This window comes from Homo sapiens, chromosome 4, assembly GCF_000001405.40.
Source record: "Homo sapiens chromosome 4, GRCh38.p14 Primary Assembly".
NCBI classification, from domain to species: domain Eukaryota; kingdom Metazoa; phylum Chordata; class Mammalia; order Primates; family Hominidae; genus Homo; species Homo sapiens.
This window is the reverse complement of record NC_000004.12, coordinates 94,848,719-94,870,724: the sequence shown is the minus strand read 5'-3', so window position 1 is coordinate 94,870,724 and position 22,006 is coordinate 94,848,719. Positions and strand designations below refer to the sequence as shown.

The following is a 22,006-nucleotide window of genomic DNA, read 5'->3' as shown; positions in this document are numbered from 1 at the left end:
AGGCTAATTTTTGCTGAAGACTACCAAACCCACAGAGAATGTAAACCCATCACAACCAAAACTTTCAGGTTAAGTCTAACATACTCAAGAAAAGTCAAATTAAACAGTAGAACACTAAATCATTTATTATTATTCCCAATTCTCCATTCTCTAAGGCATAATGAAATGAGCAAGAGGACTGAGGGAAATAAAAGCTAAAGATGCTATTAATCCAAAACTTGCACTGATAACTTAGAGCTGACAGTTTCTTTTATAGCAGAAACTCCATAACCATCACATGGCAAATAGCATAACCAAGTAAAGATGTTCTCTACCACAAGTGGTAAAACTCTCTCTCTCTCTTGGCAGGAAGTAGAGAGAAAGGGAAGTCAATCCACTGAGAGCTCCAACCAGCAAGACACTCCACAGACACAGTGATTAAGAGCTAGTGTATGACTACGAAGGTCCTTGAGAGCCAAAAACCTATTCTTCAAGAGTGCATTCCAAGTTTAGTGCAAGAAAATCATAAAAACAAGCCCAAATACGGCATGAAGTTCACATTGCAAGAACCCCTGTAACATGACTTTTATCCAAAAGTTTAAACGCAAAATTTAGTTAAGACTGATCAGAGTTTATAAAAATAGAATTTTAAAAGGCCATTTAGAACATAAAGATAAATTTTCCTTAAAACCTTTCTTTGCAACTTCTTCTCTAATATAACTTTGTAAATCTACTGACTACACAGATTTTCAACCCTATTGCCCATAAAGTTTGCTAAACATCCCTTGAAAGTACTACTATTAATGTATTCAGTCTAAAAGATACTTGTTATGCTGTGCACAAGTATTCAAATATTGACCAGGCCTCAAGGGGGAAAGTGGTGCCTCTATTCCTTACAACCATTAAGCTTTGCATCTTTAGAAAAAATAAGGGCCAAACTTACATAAAACATGAGCCATTTTATAAAAACTAAATTTTTAAAAGAAATGCTTACATGATCTCAGGAAAAATAACAAATTAAAATGTTACAGATTATAAAAACTATGCATACTTAGAAACACAGTCACATTTTATTTTATAATGAACAGGAGTATTTCAAATTCAAGTAGGCCTTTTGAACCCATTTAACATGGATGGAACATACCTCTAATTCAGTCAAACCTAAAAGAAGAAAAAGGAATACTATTGGGATGAAGTATAGCCCATATGCAAAGCTGAATATTGAAGATACATGTTATCTGAATAGCATAAACATTTAGACAAAGTAGCTCAGATGAAAGAGCTGGCCATATACACTTAAGAGACTACATTTGATCATTTAAGAGAACCCTCAAAGAAAAAAGGTATTTCAGCATGTGATCTGGAAGAAATTTTAGCATCACAGGAAATATCTGACTTTCTTCTGGTGCTTAGTAAAATAACGGAAAAAGGTTTAAAGAAAAAGAAGTGTAAAGTGTAAAATTGTTTTCATACAATATATGAATGATGATTCTAGATTCTAAAAACCTCACGGAAGTTTTGTCTTTGACATTTCAGAAAGAGTAAAACAAAAATCAGAAATTATCTGACAAATACAAATTATTATTCTTCCTTTAAAGCAAAGTGTGTGTGTGTGTGTGTGTGTGTGTGTGTGTGTGTGTGTGTGTGTGTTTGATAGTAAAATTTAATTCAAACAAATCATGGAGTTTAATTTTAAAAAAGAGGTTCTAGAGAAATTTAAGAAATAGTTTTTGACTGTTTAAGCCCTGTCCTCAGAGCACTCTAACATTTAACTGTTGAATGAGGACTCTATGGAGACACACACTACCATGCAAATAAGCAGTGCCATAGAAGAAACTAGCAGTTACAGAAGAAATTAAGCTACAACATTCAAGCCTTCATGCTGTAGTCTACCAAACTGGGAATACTTGAGGTGAAATATATGTTTTAAAGTGACTAGGTAAACACAAATACTCATCCTGTGCAACACCTTTGATTAATAATAAGTCAAATGCATTATGCTAAATTCAAACACTTATTTTCATGATCTAGGAATATTTTCACTCTGTTGTTCACAGCCTCAAGCACTGGCATTTGCCTTCCCTTTGCCTGGGATGGCCCTTCCCTCAGATCCAACTGTCCAAACCTGCTCATCGTTCAACACTGGAAACAAAGGACACTTATTGGTCCCTTCCAAGGAAACAGGATTTCATTTGGTCTCCCCACACTCAGCTCCAATGACAGTGGGGAGCCCCCTTTTTTGCTGAATAAAAAAGTAAGGCATTCAGACACGTAATACCTCTGTAACAGGTTCATGTCTGTAATCTCAGCACTTTGGGAGGCCGAGGTGGGTGGACCATTTGAGGTCAGGAGTTCAAGACCAGCCTGTCAATATGGTGAAATCCCGTCTCTACTAAAAAAATACAAAAATTAGCTGGGTGGTAGTGGTGCACACCTGTAATCTCAGCTACCTGGGAGGCTGAGGCAGGAGAATCACTTGAGCCTGGGAGGCAGAGGTAGAGGTGAACTAAGATCACCCCACTGCACTCCTGTCTGGGTGACTGAGTGAGACCCCGTCTCAAAAGAAAAAAAAAGAAGAAGTAAGGCTGGGTATGGTGGCTCGCACCTGTAATCCCAGCACTTTGGGAGGCTGAGGCAAGAGAACTGCTTGAGCCCAAAACTTCTAGATTAGACTGGGCAACATGGTGAAACCCCATCTCTACTGAAAATACAAAAAAAAAAAAAAAATTAGCGGGGCACAGGCACGGTGGCACATGCCTATAGTCCCATGTACTTGGGAGGCTGAGGCAGGAGAATCACCTGGGGCCCAGGGGGCTGAGTGAATTGTGACTGCACCACTGCATTCCAGCCTGGGTGGGTGATGGAAGTGAGACTCTGTCTCCAAAAAAAAAGAAACGGTGATCTTAATATGCAACTAAAACTAATCTTAATGCAGTAATTACACAAGAATAAACATTTACTGGGCAATGTGTCAATCATATTTTGAAGGTTATGAAAACTTATGTTTTCCCAAGGGTTCAAAGACCAGTATTTTCAATTTGCTCCAGAAATTGTAAAAAGTTCCATACGTCCCAGGGAAACTCTAAAATGTTTTCTTTAGGTGAAATGAAGTGAAAAAGAGAAGAAAGCTCACAAAACAGAGAGAATCAAAATTAGAGAGACAGGCAGGGAAACTAAACTAAGGCTATTCCAAGGTGAAAACTGAGATGGTATTAACTGAGGCCCTAAGATGTAGGAGGAATAAAGAGGAGTAGAAGAACTCAGAATTAAGACAGTAGATGTAACAAGAATTAATGATCTATTGCTAGATTTCTAGTTTAAGCATCTGTGTATCTGGTGACATCACTCAGAAAGATGCCTCTTATCGGTAATAAACTGAAAGAACCAAGCTTGATGAGATTGAAAATGAGTGTAAAATTGGATATATTGAGTTTGAGGTGTCTATGGAACACACAAACATGTTGACCCCTTTTAATAAGGGTCAAGACTTAAGGTGAAAGACTTGCTATATATGCATCTTCTGGAGGCATGCTTGAGAATGGGGTATCTATCCAGAGAAGGGTTAGCCATGCTAGAATGAGAGACAGTGGTTTCTTGGAACCTTTAGAACACAAAAGTTTAAGACGCAGGTAAGAGCCAGTAAAAGACCCCAGAGAAGGGAAAGTCATATAAATAAGAGAAGATAAGTGAAAAATGTTATTCATTTAACTAATATTATTGTGTGCTCAATATGGGGCCCTACTGGATACAGGAGATAGGCCAGGGCCTAAAACAAGTGTCCATGGATCTGACAAATCACTGGTCATCAATGACTTGGTGAAAGCATTTCCAGCTACAGACTATAGTGAAATAAACAATGAATGAGGCTGGACACAGTGGCTCACGCCTGTAATCCCAGCACTTTGGGAGGCCAAAGTGGGCGGATCATGAGGTGAGGAGATCGAGACCATCCTGGCCAACATGGTGAAACCCCATCTCTACTAAAAACACAAAAATTAGCCAGGCATGGTGGCGCATGCCTGTAATCCAGCTACTTGGGAGGCTGAAGCAGGAGAATCGCTTGAACCAGGGAGTCGGAGGTTGCAGTAAGCCGAGATCATGCCACTGCACTCCAGCCTGGCGACACAGCGAGACTCCGACTCAAAAACAAACATACAAACAAAAACAAAAAAGCAATGAATTGGTGGTAAGGAACACAGACAGCCTTTTTCCAAAGGGAGTTACAGCAGCAGGTAGAGGCTGACACTAGACCAGGGAAGGATTTTGGACGGGAAAAGAGATGCTAAAGGAGGAGTTTAGCAGGGATGAAAAAGAGAAGAAAGAGAGAAGACAGATAATATGACTGGAAAAGAGTCTTGTTTCAGGGTGGAGGGGGGAAGATCCTTACACTGTGAAAGGAAGAAAGGCAGTATCAATATATGGAAATACAAGTGGATGTTGACACAAGGCAGAAACTGGTGCATGTCTCCGATGACCTCTATTTCCTTGGTCAGAGAAGAGAAATGTTAATCCTCTGAAAAAGGATTGGAATATATTGATGGAGAGAGCTTGAGAAGATGGATGGTGACATAACTCCTAAGTAGGAATGAGAAAGATAACATATGGGATAAACAGAATTTTTACTCAGCAACAATCAGCACCTAGAAAGCTAGGGACTATGAATTTATAGTGTCACCAATACACAAAGTTGTCAAACAATCCATGCATTCCCCTCTATGCCAAAGGTTTAGGCATAAGCATAGACTTTATGACATGTACTTGTTTGTTTGTCTTGGGGGGTACTCAGTAAGTAGTATACTCTAAAATTATGGTATGCATCTGAAAACTCCTGACACAAATCAGAAAAATCCACTTAACACATTTGATAAGACCACTATCCTATGCCACCATCATCTCGAAAAAAAAATGTTTTTCAATGAGTCTGTTATGTAATGCATGTTGTTGTTCTTTCCTCTTAGCAAATAAAAACTGAAAATGAGGATTCGTTGCTAGAAATGTTGGATTTCACCCAGAGGCAATGGGAACCATTGAAGGATTTTTAAAGTAGAAAACAGCAGCTGGGAGCAGTGGCTCACGCCTGTAATCCCAGCACTTTGGGAGGCTGAGGCAGGTGGATCACGAGATCAGGAGTTCAAGACCAGCCTGGCCAATATAGTGAAACCCCATCTCTACTAAAAATTAAAAAAAATTAGCCAGGGGTGGCGGCGAGCGCCTGTAATTCCAGCTACTCGGGAGGCTGAGGCAGGACAATTGCTTGAACCTGGGAGGTGGAGGTTGCAGTGAGCTGATATGGAACCACTGTACTCCAGCCCGGGTGACAGAGCGAGACTCCGTCTCAAAAAAATTAAAAAAAAAAACCCAGCATGAACAGGTTTGTGTTTAGAACTATGTTCTATATTCTTATATTTAATAGATTAAAGTATACATTTATTTTTTCTGAATTAACCTAAAATATATCCATAAAACTTGAAGATTATTTGGGAGGCCAAAGTGGGCAGACCGCAAGGTTGGCAGTTCGAGACCAGCCTGGCCAACACAGTGTAACTCCATCTCTACTGAAAATACAAAATTAGTCAGGCACGGTGGCACATGCCTGTAGTCCCAGCTACTCGGGAGGCTGAGGCAGGAGAATTGCTTGAACCCAGGAGGTGGAGGTTGCAGTGAGCCGAGATCACACCATGGCACTTCAGCCTGGGTGACAGAGTGAGACTCCATCTCAGAAAAAAAAAAAGAAAGAAAGAAAAACTTGAAGATTATTAAAAATCTATATATCATTGCATTCAGGTGTATCATTTCTAAATTATAAAGCAAACCTCCATTTAACCACTAAACTATTAAAATGTTTTTTCATGTGTAATGCAAAAATACATACTGTTAGCCCTCTGTAACTATGGGTTTTACCAACAACAGATTGAAAATTTTTTTTAAAGGAATGGCTGTGTCTGCGCTGAACATGTACAGACTTTTTTTCCTTGTCATTATTCCCTAAGCAATATAGTATAACTATTTACATAACATTTACGTTGTATTGGGTATTAAAAGTTTTTACCTTAAGCTTGTGCCTCTTTTTCAACTGCAATGACCTCATATCACCAAGTTGAATCCCTAATCTACAGACAAGAAATTCTAAGAAATTATCAACTTACATACAATTTGTTTTTTAATAAGTACTTGGCCCTTATCAAAAGATCTATTCATTAAAAAATACAGAACTATACAGCTTAGAAACAGCAGCTAACAAACATTTCCTTCATATGGAATTCAGGTCACTCTAATATCCAAAATGACTTCCCAATCCTTCCTTGTTCTACACCTCCGCCTTTCCCTCCTTAAAGAATCTTCTAAATACTATCTTGATGTCAACTTTTTAGTAATTGGAGCTTGGCGTTTTTTTAATCCTAATCTTTATGCTGACATCTCTCTCCTGCTACCATTATCTCCCACCCACCATGAAGACAATCTGAAACGGGACAGGTTAAAATCCATTCTGGGGTTCTGGCACAGACGAAGGGTCTTCTGAAGACTGAATCCCAGTAATTATACTGGTCGAAGCTCAAGCCAGAGACCACTGTTTCTTTACCGTATATATCCCTTGATTTTTCCCACTCAAAACTCTGCTATCTGGAGACATAACCTAATAGACCACTTTTTGTTTTCTTTTGTTTTATAAATAATAGTACATCAGCTAAAATGTATAATAAAGGAACAATTTAAAATTCATCATGTCTATTGGAATCTTCCATTACTTTTAACCCCATTACCAGATACTAGCTACCTGTGTACTGAATGCTGTTCTGACAATCACACATTATTGTGTAGTCATTTAATGAACTGTAACTTCCAACAGGCAAGTATAAAATATCTACTGGCATTAGAAGATGTTGTGCTTATTCAGATACGGTTTCGGGAATGCACCACAGGAGCAACTCTGAAATGTGTAGATGAACCAAAAGATATCTGCCTCTTTCATTTGTATAATTAACACTATTTCTGAAATAAGTTTGAGTCTGGTTCCCATCACATACGATTCAAGTAAATAAAACGCAGCCACATTGCCGCCTAGAACTTAAGAAAAATCATATCATAAAATTGTGTCCACAAGAAAAGTCCATTTTAAAATATATTATGTCAAAATGAAACATTAGAGGAAAATACACAACCTAAATTAGAAACCAAATAGCAACTGCAAACTAAATACAGAGGGCTATTTTCTTCACCTTTCACTTTGAACAGCCTGGAAGAAAAGAAAATGCTAGCACTGTTATTCACCACTCTGTTGGCAAGAGCAGTGTTCACTGTCCCACTTTACCTCTGGTGGTGACTACCCTCGACTGATATACTCAAGAACCATTTCCAGGCTGGTGAAATGGCCAGAAGCACTATTTCTATTACACACAAACTTCCTTTTAACTTTTATTTTAGTTTCAGGGGTACACGTGCAGGTTTGTTCTATAGATAAATTGTGTGTCGTAGGGTTTGGTGTACGTTTTATTTCATCACCCAGGTAATAAGCATAGGTAGTTTTTTGACCCTCACACTCCTCCTGCCCTCCACCATCAAGTAGGCCCCGGTGTCTCTTGTTCCCTTCCTTATGTCCATGAGCATTCAATTAAACACAAACCTTTTTTTTGAGACGAGTCTCACTCTTGTTGCCCAGGCTGGAGTGCAGTGGCGCGATCTCGGCTCACTGCAACCTCTGCCTCCAGGTCAAGCGATTCTTCCGCCTCAGCCTCTCAAGTACCTGGGATTACAGGCGCCCACCACCATGCCCAGCTAAATTTTTTTTTTTTTTTTTTTTTTTGAGACGGAGTCTCGCTCTGTCCCCCAGGCTGGAGTGCAGAGGCGCGATCTCGGCTCACTGCAAGCTCCACCTCCCGGGTTGACGCCATTCTCCTGCCTCAGCCTCCTGAGTAGCTGGGACTACAGGTGCCCGCAACCACGCCCGGCTAATTTTTTGTATTTTTAGTAGAGACGGGGTTTCACCGTGTTAGCCAGGATGGTCTCGATCTCCTGACCTCATGATCCACCCGTCTCGGCCTGCCAAAGTGCTGGGATTACAGGCATGAGCCACCACGCCCGGCCCAGCTAATTTTCTTATATTTTTATTGGAGACGGTGTTTTATCATGTTGACCAGGCTGGTCTCGAACTCCTGACCTCAGGTGATCCACCTCCTCTGGCCTCCCAAAGTGCTAGGATTACAGGCATGAGCCACCATGCCTGGCCTAAACACAAACCTTTTAAACTGAAAATTTTTCATTAAGAAATATGTTTCCAAAATTTATACTTAAATTTGGGGCTGGGTGCAGTGGCTCATGCCTGTAATCCCAGCACTTTGGGAGGTGGAAGCAGGTGGCTCACCTGAGGTCAGGAGTTCGAGACTAGCCTGGCCAACATGGTGAAACCCCGCCTCTGCTAAAAATACAAAAAATTAGCCGGGCATGGTGGCGCATGCCTGTAGTGCCAGCTACTCAGGAGGCTGAGGCAGGAGAATCGCTTTAACCTGGGAGATGCGACTGCAGTGAGCCAAGACCGTGCCACTGTACTCCAGCCTGGGTGACACAGCAAGACTCCATCTCAAAAAAACAACAAAAAAAAACAGTAATAATTTGGAATCTCCCAAGTCATTGTGTCTTTTTTTTTTTTAAAGGCTTTTCAAAGTCAAGATTAGGTGTTGGTTGACAGGTACTGTGTGGCATATAGTAAGCACTATGTACTGTTAGCTGCTACTATTATTATTTCTACTGAAATCTATAGTTTCCTTACAACTAAAGTCAAATAAGCAGTAAATACAAATTATTCACCACCTGAATAAAACTCAGACTTGGGATGGTAATATTTCATTCAAACAAAGTTCAGAGAATACACAATGTAAAACAACCTCTGATTACTTCCATTCTATTAACTAAATGCACAACTGAAACTGAAAATACCATCAATCTACTCTGACCTATATCATCATTTCTAAATTTCTCTTTTGGAAAATGGATTAGCTATAACCATAATTTTAAAATCACCATGTGTTTATTGGGTAATCTCTTTTTTCTCAGTTCTATGATAAAAAATATCATAAAGCCTAATTTCTCTAACCTCAAGAAGTTTGCAATCTAGTTTGGTCATATATGTATATGTTTTGTGTGTTCAGGGACCATGTCTTTGCTCTCACTATAAGAGAAAGATAACATAGGAGGCTTGACCTGGATCTTCACTAATAGTATTTAGGTAGCTGAGCACAGGGTCTGAGCACAGGTATTCTAGAATCTTGCAGAGGATGGATGGAATACACCAAAGGAAGACTCCATTCTTGGCCAAATACAAACATCATACTGAGTCAGAAAATACTCTCTGATGAAACCAGTAATAGCAAATTCTAATCAGCCTTCAAATACTTGACAATGAATGTAGATATGCACCACACGTTGTCCTAAGTACTTTACATGTATTATCAATTTAATCCTCATAACACCTGTGAGAGGTAAGCAAGTGATATTATCACCCCAATTTTGCACATCAGAAAACTGAGACACAGAGGGATTAAATAACTTACCCTCAGTCACCCAGCTAGCAAGCAGCAGGACTGGGATTTGAAGCCACCTTAGCAGCAGCATCCTTTATCTTAATCACAGCACTATACTACCTCAAGACTATAACTCTCAAGACCCAGGCAAAAGAGATAGACACATATATGAAGGAATACAGAATAAAATGAAAGAAAATGGAATGGGATGGGATCTCGTGAAAGAGAAAGACATATAAAAGCCAACTTTTATCTTAATCACAGCACTATACTACCTCAAGACTATAACTCTCAAGACCCAGGCAAAAGAGATATACACATATATGAAGGAATACAGAATAAAATGAAAGAAAATGGAATGGGATGGGATCTCGTGAAAGAGAAAGACATATAAAAGCCAACATATAAAAGACATATAAAAGGTTTTGTCCAAGAACCTCTTGTAGGATGCACTGGCACCAGAAATGTCTACATAAGAAGACTCAGCTCTGCCAAGCTCCAAAACAGGTTTTAACATTATAAAACAGTATTCACTATACTACAATCTCAATGCTTATTGACAGGGGAAGCAAACTCCTACAAAAACTAAAAAATAAAAGTTTAATATTTATAAATAGACAATCTTAAAAAACAGAATATGCCTGGCTATAGAGACCAATAGTTACAAACAGGTTCAATCAAAGTCCATAAATTGAATCCTTCAGCCTCAGTTTTTAAAAATTTTCTTGATGGATATTTAAGCAACCTTATTACATAAAAACTGCTTTTCCAGATGTAGGAATAAAAAATTCAGTAAGAAGCAATCCTTATCATCAAGAAATGTCTTCTGTAAGATTACGTATACATGATTCTGTAACATCTGATGACTATTTTGAAAACAGTATTTACTCAACATCTTACTGATGTTGCTGGATCTCTAAGTGCTTCTAAATACTCGGTTTTTGCTCTTCAAGTTTGTAGCATATATCATCCAATTTTCAGACCTACCTAAAGGAGGACCAAAGGTTTTCCCATTAGTGAAAGAATCTCTATATAAAATAAAATAACAGTATCATTAATTTGTTAAATTCTTTCAACTTACAATCCCTCACATCATCTGTAGTAATTCCACCCAGTTTAGGGACGCGTTAAGGAATAATCTGTGAAGAGAGAATGGGGGCAGAAAATTCTGCTTCTCTTACTCCAGTAGGACAGTTTCACTGAGGAAGGAGAATTTCTAATCAAATGGACAAGTTTTAATAAGTCACTGATGAAAATCTGCAAAACGATGCTGATCACAATGCAAATCATTAACTGGGCTCCTGGAGACCCAGGAAAAGGAAGATTTTTTTTAACTGGATAAAATGTAAATATTTTACTTTTGAAATTTTAACCATGCCACCCTTTAGTAATTTATATGCAATTAAGTAATCTCCTCACAGTCTGAGCCAAAATATTACAAAAATATTTTGCTATTTTCATGGATTTCTCAAATATTAAATACTTCATTATCACTGCATAGTAACTCTTTTTTTTTAAGTCTTGTCACAGAGTATTTTAAGATTCATCATCTTTATGCTACCTGGTTTAAGATCTGGCCACAAAACTGCCACCCTACACTGATCAAAGTCTTCAACAAATCAAAAATGCAGGAGTTGACCATATAAGGATTCCAGTGCTTTCTATCTTTATTCTAAAAATACATATGCACAAGATCTTCTGAAATAATGTCTTAACTAGTAAATTAATGTGGGGATTGGGGGAATACTATATTCCCCTTATACACACTATAGTAAACAAAATAAAACTGGTTTCTTGACTCCACTATTAAAAGCCTCCCTCGTGGGAAGGGTATTGCGTGCTGTAATCTTCAGTTTAAGTCATGAAAAATTAACTTGGATAATTGAAAAGATGGAAAGCGTTTTAAAATTTAAAAGACGGAAGTTTTTTTAAAATCCTGTTAAAAAGTAATTCTTTTTTTAAAAAATTATTAACTAGAACGTGCATTTCTTTCAACTTCACTTTACAACTTACAGTGAATACTACCCATTCTAACATAAAGAGTGGCCTCTTGAAGCTCAGTTCTCTCATCTCCCAATTTAGTTGGCTCTAGACAGTCTGATGGGACAACAGTTCAAATTCTTCAAAAAAGGCAAGCATCTAAATCACTTCCAGATCTGCCTCTGATAGTGTAAAAGTCTTGCATTAATAAAATAATTAAGGCAATTATAAATTATGTTGACATGCTTATCTATTAACATAATTGCAAAAACAAAGGTAGTCATCTCTAAAGAAAAAGAGAAAATAGAACAACAATGTAAACAAAAATTCCTTTGGACTTAATCTCATCTGTGAATAATTAGAAGAATTTAAGTGGATTTGGAAGGGGTGGTGAAAGACTGAGGAGATAGGATTACAGTGTCTTTCACTTTGATGTATTAAAAATGAAGTAGAAGTTACAAAGTTTAAACACACATACACATGCACACACCCATACCCTTCAACCATCAACAGCAACTAGCCTACCTGCCCCATTTTTCATTTGATTGGAGTTAATACAAATAACAAGAGTTGTATTCAAACTTTGATTAAAACAAAATGAACAGAAAACAACTATTTTCACTCTTCTTAGACTCAAGATAACTCTTTCCATTTTTTGGTCTATTTGAACTAATTTACAGTTCAGGAGAAACTAACTCATGTATATCACTAAAAATTTGGTCAAAATATCTCTTGCCACATCTTAAAATAAATGCCTAATCCAAAATTCTATAATAGAAAAAAATTATGGCATGAATTCCATCAGAAGGATGGTTCCATTTTATGTCTTCTAATGACTAAGTTTTATAGCCAAATTTATTTTCTATATTTTTTACTTGCTATATATTTTTATAACAAAAGCATTGCATTTCTATTGAAATTCTTGTTGAGGAAAATTCAGGAGTTACATACAAGCATAAAACAATTCTATTCAGTGATCATTTTAAATTATTTGGTGTATTGGCCAGGCACGGTGGCTCACGCCTGTAATCCCAGCATTTTGGGAGGCCGAAGAGGGCAGATCACGAGGTCAGGAGATCGAGACCATCCTGGCTAACATGGTGAAACCCTGTCTCTACTAAAAATACAAAAAAAAAAATTAGCCAGGCGTGGTGGTGGGCACCTGTAGTCCCAGCTACTCGGGAGACTGAGGCAGGAGAATGGCGTGAACCCTGCAGGCAGAGCTTGCAGTGAGCCAAGATTGCGCCACTGCACTCCAGCCTGGGCGACAGAGCGAGACTCCGTCTCAAAAAAATAAAAAAATAAAAATAAAAAGTAAATAATCTGGTGTATTTACTTCCATTTTACATAAACATATGTTTTTCAAAAATATATTTTTGTCATTAACACATTGTTTTCTAAACTGATATTTAAAGAACATTCTGGGAGATATTAGTATCTATTCCACTAAAAAAAGTGTTGTATTGTTTAAAATAGGTTTAAGCAAATTTAACAGATGTCTTTTTGAGGACATCTCAGAGCCTATAATGAGCTAACACTTATTATGCTTTTTCAAGTAATAATAAATGACCTGGGAAGTAAGTCATAATAAATCTGGGTAGCAAGCAGCTTCCCAAATTTATTTCCTACTTAATATATTTATTCTCCTTGTTCATCTGTTAGCTTCTAGCTTGGGAAATGTATAAAGTACATTATATCGGAAGGATATTCTTACATAAAATTTTGTAAACTAAAATTTTTTAAACCATGATTTTAAGGCCATAAATTATTACATCTAAATATCTTATAGTCCACTAGATTTTTTCCAAATTCTGTTGTCATTTTATATAGATCTTACTATATGTGTGTAACTATTCATTGAAGATAAAGTGCTAACCTTCTACAGAAAATGGTACAAAACTGCCTAAACGGCTACATATTTCACATAGCACCTTTTCACTGAACTTGTATCAAAAGTATGTTGTCATTTGCTTAAATATTTGTTAATTTGGCACATTTTCTTAAATATTTGTTAATTTATTTTAATTTGCATTTATTTGCATAAGAGTAAGGCCTTTTTTTCATATTTTATCAGACATTTGCATTTATCTTTCTCAGACTGGATTTTAGTTCTCTCTCCTCCATACTTTTTTATCTCATTCTTTTCATTTCTTGATCCTTCTCTTGAAATCTGAAAGAGTTCCTGAAGCATACTCTTTACTTCAGTTTTTAAAATCATGAATTCTTTCTTGCCCCCTCTGCAGATTTGTGTCCAACCCTGTTTTAGTGTTCCTTGCAATCTTCCCAAACCTTTAGAGAAGCAGTCTGTTCTCCTTAGAGCTCTTTGCTGAAGTTTCATAAATATCATATCTTCTACCTTCTGTTATGCTAAACTGTTTTCTAAGTGTTCTAGTCATTACAAATATTTCAAAAAATGTGCTTTCCTCTTGCATCTTCAGGATGATAGGCCCTCACCTGGCATAGTTTTCTAAATTAGGTCCCAAGTTGTTTGCCACCTTTCTACTGCCTTTCTGTAATGATGACGGCATCTACCACAAAACAGTTTGGCCTGCCCATTATGCCCTTAGCTGATTATAGACATCCCTTTTCAATGCTATAGCAAGAATGTAGAAAGATATGAAGAGTTAGAAGCCCAGTTCTCAGTGACTGTGATACATTCATTTAAAGCTGGTCTTCTGGACTGCAGCAGGACCTTCTTGTTACATATTGTTAATCAGCAAAAGGAGCACTTGAAAACTAAAATGCCTACCATTGAGTTCTCTGTCCCCACCTTGAGCCCTTTACAGGAGGAAACCCCCTCCTTTCAGGATGCAGTAGTCAGCTGCTCCCCCTCTCCCAGGTTCTTGCTGTTTTCTATGACTTACGCTGCTAGCTGGCTGGAGAAAGACATAAGAAGAGAATAGAGACATATGGAACAGGAGGTCAGGAGGCGGCATCAGTGATGATAATGCTACAGCATCCTCAGAAAAACGGCACCCCTGCAGCAGATGGAGGGCTGCCCAGTTTTCTAGCTGTTAAAAGATCATGGGTCTCTGAGCAAGCAGCAGATCTTATCAAAAAAACAACAACAACAAAAACTACCTCTACATTTCTTACTTTGGATAGCTGGGTTTTCTTTTTCATGAGACAATCTGTTTTTTTCCCCAGGCCAGCTCCTTATAGGTGAAAGAAATGCATCAAAATTTCTAGCAATTGTCAGTCTTTTTTGTTGTTGTATTCCCCCTGGGCCTTCACTGGTCTTTTAGCAGAAAACTGGAAGAGGCTGTGTTAACAACTGCAAAGTTATTCGAAGTTTTATTTTATTTTCATTTGACAAATACTAACTGTACACATTTATGGGGCACACAGTGATGTTTCAATAAATTACTGAGATTTAAATAATCAATTCAGACCTCTCTAAAATTTAAATGTAAGTTAAAATCTGATTATTTCACTTCCAAGCACAAGAATTTGATTAACTCAAATAACTTTATTTTAAATAAATTTATTAATGCTGAAAAGAATAATACACAGGAGACTAGAAGGCACTGTTTATCTAGAAGTCACAAATATCACCAGTGGCAGCAATGCACATTCCTTTTCTTCAGTGGTAACTGGAACCAGAAGACTTAGAAACAGGCTTTCCCTTTAGTTGAAGTTGAAGGTGATTAACAAAAAATAAGCACTATCCTCTGTCTTCAGAGTTTTAATTATCCCGTATTTTTGTTACGTACATGTTATGTTATTTTAAAAGAGATGGGAAGAGCTTTTCTGAAGGTCTATGTTAGACATAGTTTCATAGTGATGAAAAACATCTGAAAAGAGTCATCGGCACACCAGTGCAATTTAGAGCAAATGCTGTAGAGTCCGAGAAACCTGAGTTTAAGTCCAGGCTCTACTATTTAATAGCTGTGTGACCTTGAGCAAGATAATTAACCTCACTATGGCTCTGATTTCTTTTCTATCAAATGAAGATATTAATAATGCTTGCTTCATCAGATGGTTATGAGACTTAAAATGAGAGAGAAGGCAAGTAACATAATAACTGTTAGATAAGTGCTCTATAAATGTTTGGTGTTCTTATCCCCCCACATATTATAAAATAAAATAATCTCAATATGAACCAGAATTCCTTTAAAGAAGGATCCTTTAAAGAAGACTAAAGGATCTTTTTAATAATCATCCACAGTGGTTTGTTAGAACTGATAATTTGTTTACAATTTTTTTGCACCTAGATTATTATGGTTGGTGCCATCCAATATATGTTAGGCATATTCTGGAATAAAAGAATGTGAATCCTTTGTCCTTATTGATTATATTTCAGTATAAGAGATGATAATTGAATAGACTACAAAGAAGGAAAAAAGAAAAATACTGATGCTTTAGAAAATAGCCCTCAAGTTTAAAAGCTTACAACCCTAGAGCAGAGGTTCTCAAGGGGATCACATAAAGAGTAGCTTTTTGGAAAATAAGTTATCGCATTTTTGGCTTGCACAATGACTAGGGAGCATGTCTTTCTTTTCATGGGCCAAGAATAGGCTTGCTAGGTTTACTGCAATACAGGAGACTGTCCCAAACGAAGAGTTTTCATGGGTCCCTCAAGACTCTTGAATGAATGGCTGGACTCATGAGAGTGAAAAATATGTTTAATTATCTCAGTCTAGAACCTTACTGCATTTTACATATAAATGCATAGTATTTATCAAAGATTTTAAATACATACTGAATTCCAAGAAGGCAACAACTACATAAATCAAGAGATTTGTGTTGTTCAGAGCCTTGTCACCGTTATCAAAAACTTGCATCCACAATCTCAATACCCCTTGTTGTTTCTGAGTCACTGATACAACAAAACTTTTTCAGCCTTCATTTGTAAATATGCTGTTCATAGTGGTGCTACATATAAGTACAAGAATCTATCTACTTCATTATTCTTATTATAGTCATGTCCACATATTTCCATATTCAAATTCATTATTTTTCAAAATGCACTTCTTAAATGTTTTTATAAAATTATTTTCATATAATCTCTCCTTTATATTAGGGTACAATTACAGTAGAGCATCATGTCCATTTTTTATCATTTCAGGATACGAAAGGCCTTATTCAATAGATGAGGCATCTTGGGGCTTGCTAGAAGGAATAGAGAGCTTCACAGTAGTCCTCAAATATATGAAGATAGCCCAGGGGAAATGCAAATAATTCAAACAGTTACTTTCCTTCAACTACAGATTGAACAGGAAATAAGTTTAATTTGCAATAAGAGGAAGGTAGGTTAAGTACTCTGATCACCATCCTGAAGAAAAAGGCTGTAAAATCACTGGAATGACTGAGAAATTTCTGATCAACATTTCTAAGCCATTTAAGAATGAGATAAGTAAAGTTTTCTTAAAAATCAAACTGGACTGAAAATTGGAGCAATTCTATAATTATTCATTTGTTTTTTTTTAAATTTCCAAATGTTGAATTCATACAGAATTCAATCTTCAGGTTTAGTGCTTTTGCAGTGATTTGGAGAAATGGAGGGTGAGGTGTGAAACACCTTCAGAGAGTGTCTGAAGTCTGATGGCGGCATGTGCTGCTAGTCTGACCATGACCTCCTCTTCCTCCCCTCCCCCTAAATAAATTTTAAAAAGAAACAAAAATAACACTAGCCTTGAAAACAACAAAGCTTATTTTGAATATCTCTTAAACCAAAAACAATAAAAGTTACCTTATTTATGAATTCAGTATCATTCATTACATTAAAGATAATACTATCTATAAGATACAGCCTCCATACATATTATCCTCATGGAGAGAATATATTTTATGAACTACCATAAAACCACCTGCATCTTTGATCAAAAATTTTAATTTGGGATAAAAAGTAGTTCAATCTTTGATATTCACTGTAAAGTAAAATTCACTTAAGTGGTTTGTATTCTTAGCTTTACAATTGGACACAGTATTTCAATAAATTAAAATCTCTAGAGGTAGCAATCACACATAAAGGTCAAGCTTCAAACTGACATGAGTCTTTCCCAAAGAAACTTTTCATTTTTACTTCATGAACTCCACGTTATGAAAAATTTAGTAAATAAATGAGTTGCTTTTTTAAGTAATAAACATTTGCTCATTTTTAATAAACACATACAATTTCGAATTAGTACTCTGACCAAGATAATGTAATCAGTGATACCAATCTGGGTTTGCAGGTCCCCGGAGTCTGGAAACTCCAGGCTGGGGACCACGAATCCACAATATATTAGGTTCTAAGAACATAAAATATGGCTATTAAGAGCAAACCAATTTTTCACAAAAAGACTTTCAATTTTAAACCACCTAATATTTCTTTGTCTAAATCCCAGAATTTTTCTTGTAGCTGGAATTCCACACATGGTCTCCATATCCCCCAAAGAAATGTTCTTTCCAGATGAGTTCCTAAGAACAGAAATATGTTTCTTCGAAGTCAGCAAGCTATTTATAAAAACTACAGTAGCTCCCAAGGGAAGATCAATTGGCAAGTATAAAATTACTTTATATATAGTCTAGTAGTTGCTCTGGCTTTTTTTTAAGGAGGAGAAATAAGACAGTGATATCAAAAGATAAGTTACATGGAATGCAATAATTTTAATGTGGGTGCTTGCCATTACAAGAAGAAAATGCTACTGATTAATTTTCACGACCCTGTAAAACAGCTAAATCCCATAATGAATGGGCAAGGACATAAATGTAAGAAAACCAATAATGTACTTTTGTTACCATGACAACCATTTGGAACTAGAAAAAGCAACATCTTAATTGTAAAAGTATCATATTTTAGTAATATTAAAATATAGCTTATCAATTTAGATTCTTTAATCTATAAATGACTGGTTAATTATATGCTAAAATTTCTATCATTCCTCAAAATTAGACATAGTAATGTCCATATGTGTGTATACATATATTTTTTCCTATCTATTCAGTTTAAATAACTTTTCTTCCAAATATTCACTTAAAACCGCAGATTATATTCAAAATGTTGTTTAATGGATATGGCCTGTACACATCTAAGAAGAATGGAGGCTGGCCATAAAGAACCAAGAGAGCCATGCTAGTGTATCCCAGCTGAATACTGTACCTCCTTACACCTAATCCACTTGTAGTAACTACACTCATTTTGTATTTGTAAGAAATAATAACTGCAATGAATACAAACAGGTAAGGGAAAATGTGTTTGCCTTTAGCACAAGTTACCTGAATAATCTCTTATCTTTCACCATCTTTATTTCCAATCTACACAATGTAAGAGCAGTGGCTTACATTCATGCAACAAACACTTACTGATAACACACTATGAGCCTACATTATGCCAGGCACTGAGTGTACGAAGATGTACAGGACAAACAAGGTCTTCATACTCGTAGAGTTTACAGACAGTTTTAAATCTAGTTGGAAAGAATAAAAATTTGTGTATATGTATGCTTGTGGTTCCTTATTTTATTTGCATAGTGTTTACTATCTGCCAAGCATTAACCTATACGCTTTATAATGATCTCAACTGACTCCTTTGTTTGCATAAATATATAAATATAAAATTTCAAGTGATCATTCAATAAAGAACAGAAAATAATAAATATTATAAGATAAAATATGATTAATAGCTGTATAAATTAGAGGTATGTGTTCAAAGAATATCAGTTACTGGACTATGAGGAAAGTAAATAATTTTTAAAATTATTATAGACTAAAAGTAAATTCATATCAAGGATAAAAACATGTTCTAATGCTAATAGCCAACATTTCTCCAAAACTAACTTCTTGGAAGTTAGGAATAGGTCACTGAATCCTATCCTTTTACTCTAAGATACATGTGTCTACTTAGTATCTACTGCAAAATTCAAATCAGAACTATATTTCTTAACATGTCACTTAAATAGAGATTAACTATATTTTTAATTCCAAAGTCCAGCAAGTTATAACTCAAAATTATTTTTGTCACCAGACTTTCATAGAAACCAATGAACTGGTTTGACAAAGAGTCATTCTCAGTTTTCCTATCAAAATTACTTACATTTGGAAATCCAGCATACCCCTCTACGAGGACGGTAACTATCTTGGTCTGACTGATGAAATTTGCAGACTCTACTGTGTTTACCAAAGGGGCTTGCATGATGCTAAATAATTCTTATAAGCATTTTCCCCTTTCCAGTAGGAAGACATTTGTAACATTCTCTAATTTGGAAGAAAAAAAAACCTGAGAATTCCCAGTGGAAATAGAAGTATCTGTTTATTTATCTAATAAACGTTTAGTGATTACCTTCTACAAGTAGTAAACATTTACAGGGCACATGCCAGTCATTGCACTAGCCACAGCCACACAAGTAAGTCTATTTATTGCCCTCATGGGAAATGGAAGAAAGAACATAAATGCAAGCATATTCCAAGAGGAAACAAAAAGAACCCATGGAGAGAGAGATTTAAGATACAAGAACAATCTGGGATATCTGTTTGGAGTAAGTTTCGAAGAAAATGGGGCTGGTGAGGAGGGCATAGGAGGCTAGACCACAGGTAGTAGGATCCAGCCTTGGACAAGAGCGGTACACTCAGAGGTACCACTGAGGCAGGGGTTATTAACCTGAAGACCACAGATGCCCAAAAGATTCATGCACAGGATGAAGGATAGAAATTCAATGGGAAAAAGATTTTCTATTTTTATGAACTTTTAACTAAGATCTAGCATTTCTTTATGAACATAGGCAACAAATCACAGTACGATTACCAATACCTGTGACCTTGCCACTGGCAGAAATCACAAACATTTTCACACCATATCTCAGCTGTTACAGATATCTTGAAAGATTGTTTACATTACTACTTTGAAAATAAGGCAGTCACGCTACCTGCCACTAGAGTTTGTTTAACACATCATAAAGACACATGCATTATAGCACAATTGTGCTTTTTATATTTTTGAAAACTGTATTCTATTCATTAATTTCCTTTGCAATGCTATACATTTTTTTTTTTTCATTTAAAAATTACCTTGAAGAGGCAGTCCTAGGTTTCCCTAGACTGCCAAAGGGATCCATGGCACAAAAAAGGAAGAGCCCCTGCTCTGAAGCATGAGGAAAAGGATTAAAAAAATGAAGTCAGGAAGGATTATGTTGTAATCTCCCTCCATTGTCTCAACTCTTTAGTCAAAGCCCACTGCACACAAGAGCCCCATGTCCATGGTGCTGTGGGAGGCTGAAGGAATGGCATCAACAAGAACTGGGAGGAAGGGAAAAAAGCAAGTCTGAGGCAATCCTGTAAGCACTGTAGGTTTCTAATAAAGGGTTGGAACAAATGGAGAGAGAATACAGTAGATCCTAGCACAGGCAACAGCTGGTCTACGAAAATCACCGAGCACTAGCCTTGCACTTGGTTTCTAAGCGCACCTTCTCTCCTAGCCCTTCCTTACTTCTTGTTCCCACAGAAACTAAAACACACACACACACACACACACACACACCAAAAAACCCCTCCTACCTTATTATGCCCCATCACATCTAATTACCAACCTGCATCTGTGGCCAGATGCACTCTCTGCTTTCCCCCTAACTGGATAAACAGGCTGTGTACCTACCTGAGCCCATCCCCCTGTCCCTGTTTTTGCATGAGATCCCATCTTCTCTGGCCAACTCAAGCACAGCACTACAGCAGTTTCCCCTTCTCTCTTTTCTCTCTCTACTAGATCATTCCCATGATGTATTTACTTTCATTTTAAAAAACAAAATCAAAAACAACAACAAAGAAAACTCTCTTGACCTCATTTCCTATTCCAGCTGCCACTCATTTCTCAGCTCCCTTTTTCCTCAAGAGAACGGTCTAAATCTGCTGCCTATACTTCGTTTCCCCGCCTTGACCTCTACTGAAACCAACCCAATCAGGCGTCCCTCAACACTCCAACTTGCTTTTGTCAAGGGCACCCGTTGACTCTCCAAGTTGCTAAACTTTAAACAGGACTTAACTGAGGTTATCAATTCCTTCTCTTTCAAATACTTTCATCACATGGCTGCCAGGACACATATGCACTCCTGATTTCCCTACACCTTGCTTTTTCTCATTCTCCTTTGCTCATTTATTACCCCAACTTCCAAACCTTGGAGTGCTCTGGGCTCAGTCCTCATACTGCTTTCTATCTACATTCACTCCCTACATGGTCTTGTACCACTTAGTGGCTTTAGGTAAAACCTATATACTAACAAAACTCAAACTTTTATCTGGAGCCAGCCTGAACTCCAGCCTTGCATATCCATTTTAATTGACATCTCAGTGTATCTAAAAATGAATTTCTGGTTTCACCCATGTCTTCACCTCTCAGTCCCTCTCAGCCTTATGAATGGGAACTCCATCATGTCATCTGGAAAAATCCTTGGAATTGTTCTCGATGCCTCCCTCTCATTTATCTACTACATCTAAATAAAATCCTTTCTATTTGTCCTTTAAATACACCCTGAATTTTACCTTTTCTCATCAGCTCCACCCCTGCCATTCTAGCCCACCTGGAACCGCTTCAGTAGCCTCTAGCAGGTCTCTCACTCCCA

At 36.9% G+C, this 22,006-nt stretch overlaps 1 protein-coding gene across 6 annotated transcripts in view; it reads right to left on the bottom strand.

Annotated features, from left to right (window-relative positions):
• BMPR1B (bone morphogenetic protein receptor type 1B) overlaps positions 1-22,006 on the bottom strand; it is a 400,496-nt gene that overhangs the window by 287,726 nt on the left and 90,764 nt on the right. Inside the window, exon 1 of one of the 6 annotated variants that reach the window (XM_017008558.2) lies at positions 10,395-10,551. The exons of the other annotated variants lie outside the window; for them this stretch is intronic. The gene's annotated coding sequence lies outside the window, so the exon portion shown is untranslated. Of the gene's footprint in view, positions 1-10,394; positions 10,552-22,006 lie in introns of those variants that run through there. 6 annotated transcript variants of the gene reach the window in all.